Genomic DNA, 19,917 nt, shown 5'->3' on the forward strand with positions numbered 1-19,917 from the left:
GAAGCAGACTATAGGTGTAGTGGATTTCCTTTCACTAAACTGGGCTGAAGTTTCAGAATTGCCCCCTAGTGATGCCCTTCATCCTGGAAATTAGTCTGTGTTAGAGAGAAGGGTCTGGAAGTCTTCCTGATAGCTACTCATCCCTTCCCCCTATCAGGGCCATGCAGGAGCTTTTTCAGATCCTCCAATATAATGTTGGTGGTGTTCCTTTAGGAAAAGCTTGTGAGAATGTAGGGACGGCATTTGATGGCTGCCTTTAGGAGCTTCTTTCCCTCTGCAGTTCATAGGCAGCACCAGCAATTCTTCATCCTTACTAGCTAAGTGATGATTGACTGGCTATTTCTGCTCCAGGTAAACAGGTCTCAGGTGCTTCATATCTCTGAATGTGCCTGACTCCAGATTTTGGGAACGCAGTTTGCCCTGAGACCTCAGTTCTCTGACAGACCAAGAGAAGTCCCCAGTTTTCAGTTTGATTAGCTTTTGTCTATAGTAATGACTTTCAACCACGTCACATGTTGAAGCTGAAACCTGAGGTCCTCAGACTCACAGATATTAATTTTATTCTTTGGGTTACACTATTTATTTTGATGCTCAAATTGTTTTAGTTTTGGTCATTGTGAGCTCTTCTTAAATCTAGCCCTTGTTTTGTTTTAACATGCCTCCCTTTTTTCTTCAACAGTGAGAGATCTGACTCTCATTATCTACAATTTATTTATATATTTGTTCAAGTCTAGTATACATATAAAGCAGTTTGAGAATATCTGTCCCACATATATGTGAAACAAATTTACCAGCTAGACTACAGTGTTTCTGTATGGCTCTTTGTGTCTTTCTCAAGTCTTACATTACCAGGCGAAACACAGTTTTCCAGAGTTATTTAGGTTAACTCTTCTCCACTCACTTCAGTGTGATTTCCAGTGATTTCTGTAGGCCTATTTTCAAGTATATGGAGTCTTTCCTTGACTCTGTCTAGCTCACCACTAAGTCCTTTGAAGTCATTCTTCCTCTCTGTCACTGTGTTTTGTATTTTTAGTGTTTCTATATTTTTCCTATAATTTCTGTATCTTTATTAAATGTAACTACCTGTCATGCATGTTGTTTATTTTTTCCTTTAGAGCCTTTAACATATTAATTATAGTAGTTTCAGATCCCTCTCATATAGTCTCAACGCTGTCATAACTGAGTTTAGTTCTGATAATTGCTCAGTTTCTTAGTACTGTCTTATTTTTCTTGACTTTTTTTAATGCTTCCTAATGTATTCTTAAAAGGTGAACATCTTGTATAGAACATGAGAGAGTGAAGTAAATAGTTTATATGCCTGGGAATGGGCATGCCTTTCTTCCTGCTAAGACCCTAGTGTGTGGGGATTGAGAAAAATTAATCTGTTAAACCTGGTTTGGGGTTTGTTGTTGCTTTAGTTAACTTTGGTGTCCTACAGCTTCAAAATTCTAGTGATACTTTATGTTTAGGGTAGGGGTTCTCAGAAGGCATTTTATTTATTTACTTTGCTTTTTTTTTTTTTAAATCCAGATCCTTCACTAGGCTTTTTATTTTCATATCTGCTCCTTCCTTGTCTTTTGGTCTTCCCTCTTTGCTTGGCCTCAGGGAGGATTTGTATTTTGCAAATTACTTATTACCTGATGCTGCTTCTGCTTTTCTTCCTCCTCCTCCTCCCCCTCTCCCTCTCCCTCTCCCTCTCCTTCTTCTTCTCCTTCTCCTTCTTCTTCTTCCTTGAGATGGAGTTTTGCTCTTGTTGCCCAGGCTGGAGTGCAATGGCACGATCTTGGCTCACTACAACTTCCTCCCAAGTTCAAGCGACTCTTCTGCCTCAGCCTCCCGAGTAGCTGAGATTTCAGGTGCCCACCACCATACATGGCTAATTTTTTGTATTTTTAGTAGAGAGGGACAGGGTTTCAACATGTTGGCCAGGCTGGTCTCGAACTCCTGACCTCAGGTGATCCACCTGCTGGCCCCACTTGATGCTTCTTATTTTGGGAAGAGAGAGAGAGAGAAGAGAGAGAGAGAGAGGAGAGAGAGAGAGAAAGAGAGAGAGAAAAAAGAGAGAGAGAAAAAAGAAAGAGAGAGTTGTGTGTGTTTGGTGGGAAGGAGTAGGGTTGCTATGGGTTGCTATTGTTCTAATTAAGTCTGTGTATTAGGCATTATTTTCCTTTTTGCCAATGATGTAGGTTGCACAGCAATTCTGAGTCCAGTACATATTTATGTTAACCCTTTCCAGAGTTGAGATTTTGTTTCTCCAGTTTTCTTCCCCTGGCTGCAGTGAGTTTTCACCAGTGCTCTAAGAGCCCCAATGTATGCTGACATTCTTCTAATAGGTTAAGATTTCAGCTTGGTTAGGGAAGATAGAGAAGAAATGTCTCAGATGAGATTTGAGATGGCCCCTTCCCCATAATGGCTTCTGTTTTTTCTGCCAGTTTTGCGACACAAAGAAAATTCCTAGGAGTCTACCAAAATTTTCCAATCATCCTCAGTTGGCAGACTCCCCAGGTTTGGGTCCCCAGGGACTTTGCTTTCTCTTGCCAGGGTACACATTCACCATCCATAAATTTGCTATAGCCCTGGCTGAACCCTTCTTGTTTTCCAGCTGTATTTTGCCCTAGTAAAGCCCCTGCTTGTGCCATGTGTTTCCCTGCAGGCTCTAGATTTTTCTTAGATGTTTAGACCAAATGTCTGTGCTATTGCTTCAGCACTCCAACTTTGAGTTCTAGAAAAGTTGTGAACTTGCCGTTTTGTGTTTACCTTTCCATATCACTGTGAATTTTGAACCATATAAATGTATTTCTTACTCATAAATTTTAAAAAGAAAGAAATATAGAGCAAAATGGTATCTACTAAAACTTTTGCATGTGAGAAGTGTTCTGTTCAAAGAGGCATAGTAAAAATAGTTCTTGATAGGTTGTTAATATATGTACCTTTTTGTTTAACTATATGGGAAAAGCTAATACTAAAATTTCCATGATTAAACTTAAACTCTAAAAACCTTCCTTTTTCTAAAAATAAAAATAATAAATAATTGGAAGAGTGCACATTCAGATTAAAAGGGATGCAGCAATACAATTGTTTCCGAGTGCTAATGGAATTTAATGATGCCCTTTGCTTTCAAAATTTGAATTAAGCTGCACTTCTGTACTAAAACTTCATTTTTATTTATGACATAGTTATGCACTAATAGCCTTCCTACCTTTGGTAGTGCTCTTATGTATCTGGCCATATACATTGTTGTCTATTTTTCCATTTTTATTACTTCAAAGATTATTTCATTGGACTTTGTTTTTATTTATAACAACTTTTCTTTCCTTCTAGAAATTTATTCTCCTTATATACATTCCTACACACATGTGGATGCTTTTATTGAAACCAGTTCATAGGTATGTTTGTATAATCTTTATACACATAAAATATATTTTTTTCTCATGATACATTTTAGCCATTCTAAAATTATCCTTTATCTTTTATATATTCTACATATTTCATATGTAAAACTTATGTTTTTATGTATATGTAATATATGCATATCTTTTAATAAAATGTATTATGCATACAACTTCATAGTTGATCCTATAACTTGCAGAGTCTCTGGTTTTACAAATAAGAAATGTAAATAAACAATGCTAGGCATAAAGGAAGTGCTTAGTTTCCCATTTACCCATTGGATTGGTTGAGAGCTAGAATTAGAATGTAAACATTCAATAACAGACTTTTCTGCAGCTTTCTTCTTCACAGGGACGAAGTGACATGTACCTTGAAAAGTATCCTCCTCTCAGATATACCTATGACCTTCTGGCATAGACTAAAGTATTTAATTTGGAAGGAAATAATTTTTGTTAGCATTTGCCACATCCAGAATCCTTTTATGTACCGAGATAAATTTTTGCCATTACTTTTTTTTTTTTTTTTTAGACGGAGTCTCACTCTGTTGCTAGGCTGGAGTACAGTGGCACCATCTCGGCTCACTGCAACCTCTGCCTCCTCGGTTCAAGCGATTCTCTTGCCTCAGCCTCCCAAGTAGCTGGGACTACAGGCGCCGGCCACCACGCCCAGTTAATTTTTGTATTTTTAGTAAAAACAGAGCTTCACCATGTTGGCCAGGATGATCTCGACCTCTTGACCTCGTGATCCGCCTGCCTTGGCCTCCCAAAATGCTGGGATTACAGGTGTGAGCCACTGCGCCAGGCCTAATTTTTGCCATTACTTTTAATGAGAAAAACTGCAATAACTTTTGCATCAGCCTAATAAATAAAGGCTCAGGATAGAATAATTACCAGTCCTTGGCTGCCAAGAGCTTAGTCTTCAAGAGAACCAAGCTTACAATAGCCAAGACTTTAATCAGACCTGTTGATGATTTACTGAATGCACAAATTGCCTAGAGTACTGCGAGATTCCTTTCAATGGACTGAAGACACTGTATTCTTTGGCAGTTAAGAGTTGGTGAAATTTGCATTCTTTTCACTATGAAGGGGAGCCTATCTATTTCTAGATGCCACGGATCACTCTGGTTTCATTCACCCTGGCTCTCAGACATAGACATAGACCAGTCACAGAACTCACTAAATGATGAGTAAACAGCCATCTAGAGCCTTTCAAGATGGGATTTCTTTTCTTCCAAGCTAGGAACTCATACTTAAACTTAGTGTAAAGAGAAAATTTAAAAAAACGAGCATTTAGCTTGATCAAATACTTATATTTTATGAGGTATAATACAACAACAACAACAAAAACAGAAGGCATATTCACAGAGGGGTAGAAAGAGGACAAAACCAGCTCAAAGGTGTCAAGAAAGAAAAAATACTAATTAGAAAACAATATTTAGTATGGCAAATAGAGCAGAAGGGTTGGAATAGAAAATAATGAAGTATTAAAAAGGGCCTCTACATTTTACTGAGTTGGTATATATTCCAAATCTTAAATGAGAGTATAGAGGGTTTTTTTTCCAATTAAATGAAAGGGTTGAAAGTGCAGTTATCTTAGGGTGAATATGGTCAAATGTATTTTTTTTTTCACAGTAAAAAAATATGAGAAACATTAGAATGGAGAGGCAGTATTGGTTAGAGATACAAACTTTGAATCCATGCTGCCTGAGTTAAACATCCACAAGCTGTGTGATCTTAGGATTAGGTTATTAAGCTTCTCTGCCATTCAGTCTTCTCATTTCTTACTTGAGAATCATAAAAATATCAAAGTAGAACTATGTAGGATTTAAAGTAGAAACATACCTATGTAAAAAGAAGAAATCATAAAGTGTAGAAAGATAGGTATAAACCAAAAACTAAGTGGCCTCCAACAAAATTTCTAAGATCCTTTAAAAAGATTTTAAAAACAGCCATTCTTTAAATGAATCAAAAAGAGGAAATGGACTAGTAGTGGTGCAGAGGATACATGCAGTAGTTTCCCTTGTCCATGGTTTTGGTTTCAGTGGTTTTAGTTACCCATAGTCAACCATGGGCCAAAAATACTAAATGGAAAATTCCAGAAGTAAACAATTCATAGGTTTTAAATTGCTTGCCATTCAGAGTAGTCTGATGAAATCTCATGCCAGCCACTTTGTCCTGTGAATCATCCTTTTGTCCAACATAGCCACACTGTGATGCTCTCCTGCCCTTTAGTCACGTAGTAGCCAACTCAGTTATCAGATTGCCTGTCATGGTATCTCTGTGCTTGGGTTCAAGTCACTCTTATTTTACTCAGTAAGGACCCCAAAGCACAAGAGTAGTTTGGCTATGCCAAAGAAAAGCCATAAAGTGCTTCCTTTAAATGAAAAGGAGAAAGTTCTCAAAAAGGAAAAAAAATGCTAAAATCTGCAGGAAGAACTAATCTATCTATGAAATTGTGAAGAAAAAGGAAATTCATGCTAGTTTTGCAGTCCTGCCCCAAATTGCAAAAGTTGCGACTACAGTGCGTAATGAGTGCTTGCTTAAGATAAAAAAAACAAAGTCATTAGATTTGTGGGTGGAAGACATAAACGGAATCATATTCTGATTGAGGGCAATTAGGGTGGTTCTACTAGTGGCTTCAGGCATCTGTGGGAGTCTTAGCATGTATTCCCTGATCATAAGGGAGAACTACTGTGGTTGAGTTCAATAGACTGTAACTGCGGGTGAACTTGTGTACCCACAGTACAATAAAGACATGGTTTCTGTCTTCAAAGAGACAGGAATAAGAGTGAGACCCTGAGAAGGTCTCTCATTTGTTTAAGGTTTTTCAGAGAGTAAGAGGCTGAATTGATTTGGGGACAGAATTCTCTGGTTCCAAAGTTTTTTCCAGAACTCCCACAACCCTCTGAGACTGAACAGGACTCTTCCAGATGGGCCTACTGAACACTCATCTAAGCAATCAGCCAATTAAGGAAAGTCTACAAGGGTTTTGCAAAAGGAAATAATGCATCAGGTGTTTGGAGGGTGTAAAATATGTATATGTATAAAGCAGAAGTAGTGAGATGTTTAAAAGTCTTTTAATAGATACCATAGCAAGAAAAGAAAATGCTTTTTATAAAACTGAATTTTTTATGGTAGAATTTCAACTTATAAATGTAGGAAAAATGATGGAATTAGAAAACTGCCACTTGACAACCATATGAATGATAATTGTTTCAGGAAGAATCATCAATGGATGCTAAAACTAATTGGTGAAAATATAATGAGAAAAAGGATATTTACACAGATCTTCCCTCACAAGATATCATAACTAATTATTGTAGTGGAAATCTTTGTATACGCTGCTTCATTCAAGGGAGTACAATTGATATTAACAGCAATGGGATAAACAGACCCCATGATGTGATGCACTGAGGACACAAAATCCCTTCTGTGATGCTCCTGCCAAACTCCATAAGTGTAATGATGAGGAAACAACAGGCAAACCCTAACCAAGCGACATTCTACAAAATAACATATCAGTACCTTCAAAAATGTCATCAAGGACAAGGAAAAACTGAGGAATAGGAATTGTTCCAGATTAAAAGTGACTAAAGTGACATGACAAATAAATGCAACTTGTAATAAAGGTTTGAATCCCTGGACAAGAAAAGAAGTTTTGTTTTTCCGTAGAAGGATGTCAAAGGAAAAATTGACAAAATTCAAAATTCAAATAAAGTCTCTATGTAAGGACAAAAACTGGGAATAATAATAGTATCTATATCAGTACCATTGTAAAGATTATATGATAAAACATATTATCAATAAGTGTTTGTGTTAACAGGTCATATACATGATACCCTCAGGGTAATATGTCCCATGGAATTAAAAATTTGGGTAACAGAATCATATATGATATATTACATAATATCTCTCATGATTTCTGGGAAGCCCACATAAATATGAGGCAAATTAGATTAGCTTTCATACAAAATAGAATAAAGAATATAAATAGCTTCATATGAGTTTCATTTCAGGTGTTAGTGACAAAAAAGATCTGGTCAGGAGAGGATTTTACTACCAACTGAAATTCCACACACATATACACACAATTTCAGTCTTCAGAAATTTTTGGCACATGATTTGTCTATGAAAGGGGTGATGATGATGATGATGATGATGATGATGATGGTAATGATAATGATGACTATTTGTCCATAAAAGATGATGATGGGCTGGGCGTGGTGGCTCATGCTTGTAATCCCAGCACTTTAGGAGGGCAAGGAGGGCAGATCACGAGGTCAAGAGATCGAGACCATCCTGGCCAACATGGTGAAACCCCATCTCCACTAAAAATACAAAAATTAGCCGGGTGTGGTGGCGTGCGCCTGTAGTCCCAGCTACTCAGGAGGCTGAGGCAGGAGAATCGCTTGAACCCAGGAGGCGGAGGTTGCAGTGAGCCGAGATGGCACCACCGCACTCCAGCCTGATGACAGAATGAGACTCTATCTCAAAAAAAAAAAAAAAAGGTGATGATGATGATAGTGATCACCATCATTGTCATCATCTTAAGCTAGATCTGAAGGGTCAACATCAGGTGCTAAGTTTACTCTTGACAAGTGGAAGAGCTATTTCTTACTTAGACACTTGGAAGCATTTTGAGCAGTCACCGATGCACAGAACCCTTCTTTTTGTATTTTCTTATCCTGTAGTAAGATCTCTCATACGAGGTTAATAATTATTTGTAATAGAAGCATCTTTTATTACAGATTTTAAAGGGAATATGTGTAAATTTCTTTGCTAGATGTATACACATAATATAGCAGAGTAATTTTCCTGTTAAAAGTACCAGAAAACCTGATGAAAATTCAGTGTATTAGTTAATTTATCTTGTATGAGTCACAAAATATTCATTCAAATACCTTTTTTCTACTAGTGGCTTTATATGTTTGATAAGCTACACAGGATGTCAGAGTTTTCTGTGTAAGAAACTAAGCAAAGATTTTTATAGCAGGACTTTAATGAAATACAAAATGGAAATGAATACATTGATGTATAAGTATTGCATATGTATATGTGTGTATTCCTCCCTGATAGTGTAAACTTTTTTAGCACCTATAAGATTAATAAAGTGCAGGAAGACATTTATTATTCATTAGCTTATTTACTCATTAATTCAACAAGTACTTGTTGAGCATCTACTCAACCTGTGTCAGGTGTAGTTTCGGTGCAGAGAATATAGCAGCAAAGAGACACTGTTACTGATTTCATAAAACTTATATTCTAGTGGAGAAGGACATAAGTAAACAGGCAAATGAATTATATAACTTTAGGTGTGTCAAGAAACAAAATTACAACAAATTTAGTTAAAGATTGAGTTGCCTTTTATTCACAATTCATGAATTGAAGTAGCCTCCATTTTGCTAAATAGAATGAGAGCATCCACTGGGAAATGGCTGAAGCGTGGTTTTTTTTGTTAAGAGGTAACAAGGAAGCAAAATAGAAAAAAAAGCTGATTGGTTAGCATCAGCTTACTTTAGCTTACTTATAGGCATTAAAGCAGAGGGAACTTCTTTATTATGCTGACTCAGGTACAGTGGGCACTCTGATGGGTTGTTGGGAATCTTCTATTTTCAAGAAAAATTGGTGAGTTTGGGAATCTACCTGGTAATTTAATGTTTCAATTTGATTATGTGTCACTTAGCATGAGTGCCTCCATTTTGGTTTAGTATGATCTGTTAGGGTCTAGTTCAGGAGCTCAGTCTAAAACAAATGCTTCCCATAAATTATTTTTATCAAGTGCTGATAATTTTCTGAAAAAACAAACTGTTTTTTCTTCTATACTCACACACTTCTATGCTTCACCTTAGATCACCAAAATGTGTGATGTATTTTCCCCCACACCAGTCAATTCTCTAACACCAGTTGGTGGTCCTACAATTCAATTCAATTCTAACACTATCTTCCTGGAATTACCATCAGATCTTACAAGTAAAAGGGCTCAGTCCCACAAGACTGGACCCACTTTAGATGCCAGTCACAAGTCAGGGTCTCCTATGCTTCTGACCAACTGGCTACAAATTGGGGGTTCCCACAACCATACTTCGGGTTTAATAATCTGCTAGAATGGCTTACAGAACTCAGGAAAACACTTTACTCATGTTTGTCAGCTTATTATAACAGATATTTTAAAGAATCCAGAGGAACAGCTCGATGAAGGGGTACATAGGGTAAGGTCTGGAGGGGTCCCCAGCACAGGGGTATGAGTCCCTGTGGAGGTGGGGAGCGCCACTCTCCAAGAATGTGGATACCTTCACCAATCCAAAAGCTCATCAAATCTCTTTGTTCAAGAATTTTACAGCTTTACCACCAGCAGCTTTCTGGGAAGTAAGTGAATAGGGATAAAAAGTATAGGATTCTGATCACTTCACTTGTCTTTCTGGTGAGCAGCCCCAATCTGATGCTCTCTATGGGCCCCATCCTAAGCCACCTCATTAGCAAAACGTCATGTGTGATCCAGAGGGCTTCATGATGAATAACAAAAGACAATCCTGTGACTCAGGAAATTCCAAGGGTTTCAGAACCTTAATGCCTGAAACTGGAGACAAAAACCAAATATATTTCTTATTATACCACAAATTTCAATGAGGAAAAATAAGTTAGGTAAAAAAAATGAGACATGAAATAAATTGTGTTAACTATGTGGTTTTGCTGCTTAGATGTCTTCTTATGAGGGGTTGAGGTGAAATTACTCAGGGTTTGCAGTAATATCTTAGAGAGTTCTATAGTGGCCTAAAAAGCCAGGTCCTAAGACAGAGGACATTGAAACATAAGGAAAAAAAGTGCTTACGTCAAGTATATTGTCATAGTGATGAAAAAAGTCTAAGTTCTCCCATCCCTCAAAACACACACACACACACACACACACACATACACACACACATTTTTAAAAAAATTTTTATGAATCACATGTATAAAGTTACCAATAACAATATACATACCAGTGGTTAGATTCATTGAGATTTCTTCTAGAGATTTACAAAGTACTATGCATGATAAATAGGAGATCTGGTTTTTAACTTTATTAATTAGAATTTTTAAGTTAATATATTTTCAAAATGTAAAGGTCAAACATAAACTAATGAAAAAATAAAACCGTACAAAACTGAATGAACACCTATTGAACAACTAATTTATTTTAGACACTGAGTAAAGCATGTTTTTATATATTATCTCAGTTAATGTAAATAACAAAAAAAAGGTACATAGTGACAAATGTGCATTTTTATGAATCTAAACATTTCTTCCATTTTGTGGTTTTCAATAATAAAATGCAGGCAAACTCTGAATATTTGTAAGTGATCTTTATCTCCAGAAATGTATCCTGCTGGCGGAGAGAACCATGGGATACAATTCCTAGTCCTAGGGCTTGCGACCGCTTTTAAGTTCTCACACACTTTTCCTTTGTACTGAATCTTATTTTTTATTGAATAAAAACACATTTTATCTTGAAAAACCTGAGGTTAAAGAAAAAAAAAAAAGAGATAACATACAGTATCAATAGGAAGGGTGGAGAATGAAAAATTCATTGCAAATCTTTAGCATTATCTTGGACACATTTCTGTAATCATATAAACCCCCAAGACAGATATAAAGACTGGATCAGATCGGGATATAATGTGCTGAATTTTGGTTGCAGAAATAAGGGGTAAAATATTTGTCTCCATGGGGACAGATCCATTACTGCACTTTTCAAAATGTCAAGGTTACATTTGAAAAGTAGTTGCAATTTTCTTCCATTTTATAAAGATAATTCACTGTTTGTACTTCACACATAAAAATGTGTGACTTAATGAAAATTTGTCTTCACAGTGTTAGGATAATAATCCCAACCTAACATACCTTAAAGTATAGTGTATTTTTTCAAATCTCTGGGAAAGAAAAAACAGCACCATTAATGATTTAGTAACATTTTGTCATTTTGACCACCTCCTCACTTTTGAGGAAGGATACATTGTCGAATAAGAAATCTGTTTTGGTAATGTGAATCCATAGAAAAAAAAAAACAGCATTTTTCCATATATTTGCCTTTAATGTTACAGAAAACATTTTTTTGTTTTTCATTTTTTATGTCAAAATATAACCAAAAAAATTGTTATCAGTCTACCTCTACTAAGTTTAATTTGACTAGACAAAAAAGTACACATTTGTGTGTATTTGTAAATTCTGTTAATATATGTAATGGTAGTAGAGCTAAACATTGTAACCTATCTTTAAAACTATTAAGTTACCAAAATTTATTGTGGTGCAAATGTTAAAAACTCTAGCAATAATTTCTTTTTTTATTTTTTTTCTTTTTTGAAGATAATTTAGTAGAGACAGGGTTTCTCCATGTTGGCCAGGCTGGTCTTGAACTTCTGACCTCAAGTGATCCGCCTGCCTTGGCCTCCCAAAGTGCTGGGATTACAGACATGAGCCACCATGTCCGGCCTACTAGTAGCAATTTGAAGTTACATATTAGATAGTAATGTTTTAAGAGTTGAAATGGTAAATACAAAATAAAATTATCATGTGTGAAAAAAATTTTTTAATTTCAATTCATTTATTAGAAACCTTAATACAACAGATTTTTTATAAGTTGGTCCATTTAAAGAAAGTCTAGCAGATGGTCAGTTGTAAAAACTTAAGAAGTAGAAGCATTAAACTAAAATTTTCATCACCTTGCTGGGGATTGAGAAGGTGTATGGACAAAATTTTCATCATTTTGCAGATGCCAATAAGTTATTTGTCTTTACAACAGGAAACTCTTTATAGTTCACATGACATTTGCATGCAAAACAGCACGTCAAATATGGCCTTCTCTCACAGAAATTAAGCAGTGTAGTAAACCTCCATGAAGAAATACTTAACAACATAAAATCTCACTAAGAAATATTTAGAATCAACTAAATTGTACAATATATCTTCTTTGTGTTAAAACCCAGGCATTTTTGCATGGGCTGTCTTATGCAATGTTCACAATAACTTTATGGAGTAATTATTCAGTTTTAAAGATGAGGAGATGAGACTTACAGAAACTAAGGAATTTACTCAGAATCACTTAGCTAGTTGAAGGTAGATGTGAACTTCAAATGAAGCTCTTTTACCCCAACTCTAGTGCTGTTTACACTACCTATGCTGACTCAACATATAAGTTTTGCTTTATTTGCACATCTCAAGAAATCTTTTATATACTCAGTAAATATTTACTAAGTACCTAATATGGCTTAAGCTCCGTGTTACATAGTGGAAATATAACAGTTACCTTCACTGAACCTAACCATATTTTGGTCTTCTATAGGTTATGTGTTGTTTTTCTCTGGCTGCTTTCAAGACTATTATTGATTTTCAGCAGTTTAGTAATTAGACGTGGTTTTCTTTGTGTTTGTCATCCTTGAGTTTCAGTGAGCCTTTTAAATCTATAAATGCATGTTTTTTACCAAATTAAATAAATTTTAAGCTAAATTTCTTTATATATTTTGTCCCTTTATATTTTCCTGTTGTGACTTCAATTATTCTTAATTACATACTTTTATATTGTTGCACAAGTCCTTGAGTCTCTGTTCATTTTCCCCATTGACAGAGTAGGAGCATCACCATCTTGGACAAGCACTGCTATCTTAAAGTTCCTCTTGATCAAAAATAGCCCCAAAGGGCATCAGCCTAATGGCTAATGTCAGCATGACCATAAACCACAAATAACATCTCTGACAAGAAACATTCCAACCCTAAGATAAACCCCTCCCTGACCAGAGACATGCCAGCCCTGAGATAACCTCCCCTCTGGCCAGAGACATTCCAACCCCCGCAATAAACTTCTCCTCCACACAGAAACATTCCAAGCCTGTGGTAAGTTCTCTTGCCCTGAACCTTTAAATACTCTTAGTCTGTAAGAGAGAATGCTCCTGACCAAAATCAGCTAGAAGTCCCTCTCTGGTTTATTCTCCAAAATAAACCTGTTTTTGACTGTTGAGTGACTTTTCATGTTTTTTTCCTCTTTCTTTAACTCTTACACCCAATTTATTATCTCTGTTATTCAGTGTAGGTTATTCCTATTGATCTATTTTTAATTTTGTTCACTGTATCTTTGGTCATCTCCAATATGTTGTTAATTTTTATTTCAGATATTGTATTTTTTAGTTTTTAATTCTCGTTTGTTCTTTTATAGTTTCTATTTCTTTGCTGAAGTTCACTATCTTTTCATTCATTATCAATATATTTCCATAGGTCTTTGAAGATAATTACAACAGCTGGTTTAAAATCGGTGCTGTAATTCCAACATCTTCAACACCTTCAGTTTTGCCTCCATTGATTGTTTTTCTCTTGAGTGTGGCATTTTTAGAAATTTCTAGTTTCTTAGAAATCTGAGTACTTTGGATTTATATTCTAGATATTGTGAATTACATATTGCAGAGATTCTGGATTCTATTATATTCTTTTGTTTGTAGTCTTATCCATGTATTTTGGTTAGACTTAAGCCAGATATTTAGGTATAACATAGTGTTTCTACCTTATCTCTCATTTTGGAGATAGCCTCACAACCCTACCCTTCTTCTGATTGTAAAATATTCTGCCTCTGCCCTCTGGTTCATCACTCCAATAAGAAAGTTTCCTCACTTCCATATTTTAGCTGCATCAGGATCTACCTTCAGGCTAAAAGTGGTGAAACCAGGGTGCCTACTCAGTACTGTTCCTTTCTAGAAAGTGTTGTCACCTTCAACATCTACCTGCTTTTGGTCAGTCTCTGATAACTTCAAATAGTTTTTTGTTTGTTTGTTTGTTTGTTTTAGAGTATCTCCTGTTGTTTACAATTATCTGTGTAAAAATTGGTTCAATAAGAGCTAATCAGCCATTAGCAAAGGAGGAATCCAAGAACATCGATATTAGATGCTTCTTATTTTGTCCTGTGAGAATTTCAAGCTTTAATTACATCACACATGTTCTGTTTTGGCAGGTTTTTATATTCATTCCATTCAAAATATTTTCTAATATGTCTTGTTATTGCTTCTTGACACATCTTTGTAAGTTATTTAGAAGTATTTTGTTTAATTTTCAAATATTTGGAGATTTTCCAAATATCTTCATTTTTTTTTTCAAATTTAATTTCACTGGAGTCAGGTAACCCTCTCTGATTTTAATATATTTAAATTTATTCCCAGTATGGCCCTTCTTAATAAATATTCTATGTTCCTATGTTCAGTTAATAGAATGCATAAATTGTTGTTCTTAGGCATAATACTCTAAAATACCAATTTAGTTAGTAGTGTTGCTCAAGTCTTCAATATTCCTAATATTTCAAAAAATTAAGAGGTGTGTTAAAATCTCATAATTATGAATTTATCTATTTTTCAAGTCCTTCAATTTTTTTAAATGAATATCTTTTGAACCTCTCATATAAAATGCATATATTTCAGTATTATTTTTCCCTTTTTTATTTTGAAATGTTTCTGATAATATTCTTTGTACTGAAGTACTTTGATATTATCATAACCACCTCAGTTTTTGTTGTTTTTTAATATTGTTTACAGGGTATCTTTTTCCATCCTTTAGATTTTAACTTATCTATACCTCTCCCTAGAGAGTGTATAGCTATAAACAGCATTAACAGTTGACCCCTAAACAACATGAGATTGAACTGTGGAGGTCCGCTTGTAAGTGAATATTTTTTCAACCAAATGCGGGTCTAAAACACAGTATTTATGGGACAAGAAATCCATACATAGGTAGGGCAGACTTTTTGTATACATGGTTCCACAGGGCCTACTGTAGGACTTAAGTATGGGTGGATTTTGGTATATGCAAAAATCCTGGAACCAATCCCCACATATACCAAGGGATGGTTGTAGTTGGGTTGTTTTTTTTTTTTTATTTAATGATAATCTCTGCCTTTTAAAGGACAAATTTAGATAATTCACATGTAATTTATCAATAAGTTTAGATTTAAGCATTTCATTTTGTTGTTGGTTTTTCTATTTTCCCTATCTCTATGTGCTCCTTTTTTTGTCTTTCTCAGCTTCATTTGGGCTGAGAAATTTTTTAGTTTTCCATTTTATCTCCACTATTGGCACTAGTGGAAGCTGTAAGGACTTACAAAATTTATCTTTGACTCATCACAGTCTACCTTTAAATAATATTATAAAACTTAATGAAAAATATAAGACTTTTGGTACAGTATACTTTTTTTCTATTCCATTCATTGTGTTACTGTTGTCATATATTTTACTTCTTCATGTATTATAATCATCAAGTAAATAGCTATTACCTTTGCTTTAAACAAATAAGTATCTTTGGAAGAAGCGAATAAAATAATTTATATTTATATATATATTTACCGTTTATACTTACCACTTACATTTACCATGAATAAACATTAAATGCTTTTCATTCTTCTGTGTAAGCCCGGATGTCCATTTATTATCATTTTTATTTTGCCTGAAAAACTTTCCACAACATTTCTTGCAGTGCAGTTCTCCAGAAGAGAATTAGCTCAGCTTTTATTTATTTTAAAACATCTGTATTTTCTATTGGGGGAGCTAGCTTTATTGAAGTATAATTTATATGCAATAAAATTCACCAATTTTAATTGCATAGTTTGATGAGTTTTGACAAGTGTCTACAGTTGCATAACCACCACCACAAATGTCATAGACCATATTCCCGTCACTGAAAAAGTTCTTTTGTGCTCCTTTGTAGTCAATACTCTCTTCCCGTCTGCTTTCCCCGGCAACAATTAATCTTCTTTTCATCACTCAAATTTTATCTTTCCTAGTTTGTCATATAAATGGAATAATATAATATCTAGTCTTTTGTACTTGGATTTCTTTACTTAACATAATGCTTTGAAATTTATTTGCTATATTGTATATGTCATTCCTTTATACCTTTACTTTTTTTTAACTGAGTTAATAATGGACTATTATTTATTGTATGGATATGCCACATTTGTTTATCCATTAACCAATTGATGTAACATTTGACTTATTTCCAGTTTTTGACTATTACAAATGAAGTTCTTAAAAATTCAGGTACAAGATGTTGGGTAGATAAGCTTTTATATTTCTTGGACTTGTTTGGTCATATTTCTTGGAATTTGTAGTTTTATATATAACTTAAGCTGTCATAATAGTTTTCAAAGTGGTAGAACCACTTTACACTCTGACCTACAATGTTTGTGAGTTCCTGTAGACCCACATTCTCGCAGATACTTGGTACTATCAGTCTTTTTAACCTTAGTCATTCTAACGATTATATAGTATTATTACATTGTGATTTCAATTTGCATTTCCCTAATGACTAATGCTGGTGAACATATTTTTATGTACCTATTTATCATCTGTATATCTTTCTGTTGACGTGTCATTAAAATCTTTTGACTATTTTAAGTTTGCATATCTTAATATTGTATTGGAAAGATTCTTTATATGTTCTGGTTACATGTTCTTTTTGGGTTGTATGTTTTGTAAATATTTTCTCCCAGACTATGCACTGTTTTTAATTTTTATTTCTTTTTTTTTTTTAAGAAAAGGTCTTGCTCTGTTGCCCAGGCTGGAATGCCATGGCACGATCTCAGCTCCTTGCAGCCTTGACCTCCCAGGCTCAAGCAATCCTCCTGCCTCAGCCTCCTGAGGAAACTACAGGTGTGCACCACCACACCCGGCTAATTTTGTTCATTTTTTGTAGACGTGAGGTCTCAATATGTTGCCCAGACTTAATTTTTTTATCAGTGTATTTTTCAGGATAACGATTTCTAATGTTGTCATTTTTTTTGTATTTGTGGGTTTTTAAATCCAATTTACAAAATATTTACCCAACAGAAAGCAAATAAGATTCACTTGTTTTATTCTAAAAGTTTATAGTTTTCGCCTTTGTATTTAGATCTAAGACACATTTTCAGTAAGATTTGTGTATGATCTGAGGTAAAGGTTGATATTCATTTTAAATTGTATGCATGTGCCTATCCCATATTTCCAGCACAGTTTGTTGAAAAGATTCTCTTTACCATCATTGAATTGCCTTGGTAATTGTGTCAAAAGTCAGCTGGCTATATGTATGTGTTTCTATTTCTAGACTCCCTAGTCTATTTCATTCACTAATATGTCTACTTTTATGCCAATGCTACACTGCCGTGATTATTGACCTTTATAATACATTTTGACATTAAGTGGTGCAAATCCTCCAAATTCACTCTTTTTTTTTCAAAGTTATTTTTGCTATTCTAAGTTCTTTGCATTTCCACATGTATTTAGAATGTACTTTTCAGTTTCTGCAAATATCTTCTGGGAATTTGACTGAGATTGATTTAATCAGTAGAGTTTGTGGGATAAAGTACATTTTAACCTTGAATGCTGTAATCCATTTGACACTTCTTTTTAAGCCTTGTTAGGGCAGATGTAGAGTAGCCTTTACTCTAGGTTAGTTCAGCCCTGCTTCTAAAACCTTTTTGTGCCTCTCCTGAATACCTCAGTTATCTGACAAGATTCTTTCACTTTGAGTGTTTGGAACTCAAATGACTCCCATGCCGCTGTGATCTCTGAATTTACTCAGTTTAGAGTGCCCCAGAATTTTTTTTTTTTAATCTTATATGTGCACAGTTTAATATGTAGCCAAAGATTCAAAGGTATCCCTATGCAGATTATTGTTGCTCATTCACTGCCTGACTCCATTCTCTGTAGTACTCTGCTGTCCATATACTAGCCGGTTTAGGGAATTCCCAACACGATTTCGGTTTTCTCAATCCAGTGAGACAACTCTATTCTCCTTCGATTTATCTTCCCAGTGCCATAATCCAGAAAGTGCTTTCAGACAAAAGATGGAGATCCCCATAGCTGTAACCTCTAGTTTTCTGGATTCAGGTATCACCATCCCATGCTGCCTCTTTTCTAATTTCTGAAAATGACTGTTTCACTTATGTTGTCCAGTTTTCAACTTGTTTATAGCTTGAGGAACTGCCTGGTACCAGTTTCTCCAATATAGCCAGAATTTTAACCTGAAAATCTTTTTAAACAGAATTTTCTTCTCTGCTTTTTACCCTTACAATAACACATACAAACATTGGTTTCCATGGTGGCTTTGTACAAGACTTATCTGCAGAGCATTTTTCTCATTTGCTCTGTTTCTAAAACATTTTTCTCATAGAAACAAATTATATTTAATCATATTCTTTATTTCATGTCACACCATCATCACTCTGTTAGTCAGAGTGATTAGCATGAGCTACTCTAACAAAACATCTCATTAGCTTAACAACCTAAATGATTAATTTTCACCCATGTCACAGACCATTGTAAGCCAAGTAGGCTCTACTTGGTGACTTTTCTCTGACTGATGACTCAGGTATCCAGGATCTTTTCATCTTGTGATGCGGCTGAATGGACAAGAAAAGAAAGAAAGAATGACAGAGTGATCACACATAAGGTGTACTCATCAGGCCCAAAAGTATTGTGTTTCACTTCTACCACTCTCCATTGTCCAAAACTCACTCACGTGACTCCAGCATACTTGCACAGAGTCTATAATCTTCATTTGTGTCCAATAAAAGAATATGGTTTTGGTGAACTAGTCAGTCTTTACCACAAATTTAAATTCATGCAAGATTTCTCTATGTTTTATTTTATATCAGTCTTTATCTCTAATTCCCAGGCCCATTCTCAACCCATCATCACAATCACCTACTGTTATATTTATCTTGATATGAACTTTATTTAAAAATTCAGAGTTGTTTATGTAGATATTTATACTTTAGAATAAATAGTTCATGCTGTGCCTAAGATTTTATTTTGCTTAACAATTTATATTTTTACACCTATTTCTGTGGTTATATATATCTTAACAGAATACTAGAAATTCTTAACAATTTTCATGACTTAGGATCAAAAGTAATTCTGAGATTGTGAGATTCTCATTCAGTTATTACAGCGTGAGGTAGGAACACCCAACAGAAAAAGAAAAAGAAAAATCAAAGGAAGGCATTCAAACACTAAAACAAACAAAATTAAACAAAAATCATTAAAAGAAAACCCCAAAAATAAATTTAAAAAAAGGCTTCTAATAGTAACTATGATGCATAGCCCTGGCTGAGAACCACTGGTCTGTTTATCACACCTGAGTTATGGGAAACTACATAAAGAATTGTTACTGTTATTTTGTAATCTCAAGGACCCCAAATTCTGCTGTTTTTTTTCCATTTGTATCTTTCTCTTCTCTAAATTACTCTATAGATATATATCTGATCATGGTCAGAGATCAATACTTTATGTTGGAAATATAAAATGTATATTCTTAACACCTCCAGTGATGTTCTGACAATAAAAGTAAAACAAAGTGCTCATAAGCATAATTTTAGAATCATATACATTTATTGTTGAGAAATGTCTAGATATTTTCTTGTGCACACAATAAGTGCATACACATACATCAAATATTCATATTCTTGTAAAAACAGGAACATAAAATCCTTATGCAAACTGAGAAACAAACCATGAAGACAGTTTATAAATGAGGATTTGTTTGA

General features: G+C 34.7%; 1 long non-coding RNA gene across 4 annotated transcripts in view, besides 1 other annotated feature; it reads left to right on the forward strand.

The window, feature by feature from the left end:
* The window catches only part of LOC105376084 (uncharacterized), a 52,939-nt gene that overhangs the window by 20,835 nt on the left and 12,187 nt on the right, over positions 1–19,917 (forward strand). The window contains exons 4-5 of one of the 4 annotated variants that reach the window (XR_929941.2): positions 3,322–3,386; positions 6,609–10,210. This is a non-coding gene — a long non-coding RNA (uncharacterized LOC105376084). Of the gene's footprint in view, positions 1–3,321; positions 3,387–6,608; positions 10,211–13,084; positions 13,257–19,917 lie in introns of those variants that run through there. The other 3 variants (XR_929939.1, XR_007061581.1, XR_007061582.1) reach the window with 3 other exon arrangements.
* Positions 9,750–10,044: a silencer, noted in NCBI's record as "tiled region #8720; K562 Repressive non-DNase unmatched - State 24:Quies". NCBI's record gives its function as "represses a minimal TATA promoter and a strong SV40 promoter by Sharpr-MPRA in K562 cells {active_cell/tissue: K562}" and the evidence as "EXISTENCE:reporter gene assay evidence [ECO:0000049][PMID:27701403]".

This window comes from Homo sapiens, chromosome 9 (genome assembly GCF_000001405.40).
Source record: "Homo sapiens chromosome 9, GRCh38.p14 Primary Assembly".
Taxonomy (NCBI): Eukaryota; Metazoa; Chordata; class Mammalia; order Primates; family Hominidae; genus Homo; species Homo sapiens.